Below are 1,527 nucleotides of genomic sequence, written 5' to 3' on the forward strand. Positions count from 1 at the left end.
AGTGGTGGGCTCCCACCTGTAATCCCAACACTTTGGGAGGCCAAGGTGGGAGGATGGCTTAAGGTCAGGAGTTGGAGACTAGCCTGGGCAACATAGTGAGACCCCCATCTCTACAATAAATAGATAGATGATAGATAGATAGATAGATAGATAGATAGATAGATAGATAGATAGATAGACAGATACAGTCTAGCCTTGTTTAGGCCCTTCTCTCTCAGAACATTTGCTTTGTTGAAGTGTGAGCATTCCCCAGTAAATTATGAAAGTTGGTTGGCTAAGCTGGTTCCTCTAGACAGCTGCTATGGATGGAATGCTTGTGTCCCCTCAAAACTCACGTGTTGAACTCCTTGCCCCCAAGGTGATGGTATTTGGGGGTAGGCTGTGGGGAGGTGATTAGGTCATGCAGGTGGACTCCTCATGATTGAGATTAGTGCCCTTATAGAAGGGATCCCGGAAAGCTCTCTCAGTCTCCTTCCACCATGTGAGGACACAGTCAGAAGGCAGCGATCTGCAGCCAGGAAGAGGGCCCCAGCCCTGCTGGCACCCTGATCTCGAACTTCCAGCCTGCAGAGCTGTGAGATAGGTGTTTATTGTTTAGGCCACTCAGTCAGAGACAGAAGCTCAAGCAGACAAAGGCAGTGACCATGCCACACAGCCTCCCCTGACCCCTGGCCCTACGGGAAGGTCACTCTATGCATGCCTGCACTCTCTGTCCAGTGAGCCCTGAGTCCCTGTCTTCTCTCTGAGGGGCACTTCCAGCCCCAAGCCCATGCAGGACAAAGATGATGGGTATGTGGTGCCCCCAGGGCCTGGCAGCCTCCCCTGTGCACAGCAGCAGGTCTGCCCTGTGTGCCCTGGCCCTGGGGCCCAGTGTTCAGGGCATCTCAGAGGTCCTGCCTTCCGCAGGACTCCTTGCCCTACACACCACCAGAGGGCACATGACCTGAAAGGAAAAGATCCATGTGTCCAGTTGTTCCTCAGTAAACATGTATTGAGCACCTGCTGTGAGCCAGGCACAGGCCCAGCCCCCAGGATGATCAGGCATGCAGTGTCCCTGAGCTGGGGAGCCACTGTCTGTGAAGGAGACTAGAACAAACAGCTGAAGCACAGGGCAGCACGGATTCCACAGAGCCTCCCACAGCCTCCTCCCATGTGTGCAGGGAAGGCCTGGAAGGGGGCCAACAGCAGCCAGGCAAGGAGACCCAAGCCTCCCAAATACACCACCAGGCCCCACCCTTCAGGTTCAAGGAGCCCTGGGCTGGTCAACAGCCAAACATCTGCCCTGCTTTGCATGGTGGATTCAGGTCAACAACACACCCCGTTGGTGTGCACGACCAGCCTCAGCCAGGCTTCTTGTACAGCGCCTCGATGTCCAGTCCAAACCAGGCCACCTCAAGCCCCCAGGCCAGAAGCATTGCAGAGAACATCCTTCTCACCTCCTGGGCTGTCCAAGGGGCTGGGTCCTGCCAGGCTCCCTGGTTTTTCATGGCTCCCTGTGGGTAAGCAACACCTTCTTGCAAGGACAGA

The 1,527-nt window shown here is 55.3% G+C and overlaps 1 annotated feature.

Moving 5' to 3' along the window:
- Positions 295-928: an enhancer, noted in NCBI's record as "H3K4me1 hESC enhancer chr5:10140102-10140735 (GRCh37/hg19 assembly coordinates)". NCBI's record gives its function as "activates a minimal SCP1, AML or CMV promoter by ChIP-STARR-seq in primed H9 embryonic stem cells {active_cell/tissue: H9 hESC(primed)}" and the evidence as "EXISTENCE:reporter gene assay evidence [ECO:0000049][PMID:30033119]".

Source organism: Homo sapiens, chromosome 5 (assembly GCF_000001405.40).
Source record: "Homo sapiens chromosome 5, GRCh38.p14 Primary Assembly".
In the NCBI taxonomy this organism is placed as follows: Eukaryota; Metazoa; Chordata; class Mammalia; order Primates; family Hominidae; genus Homo; species Homo sapiens.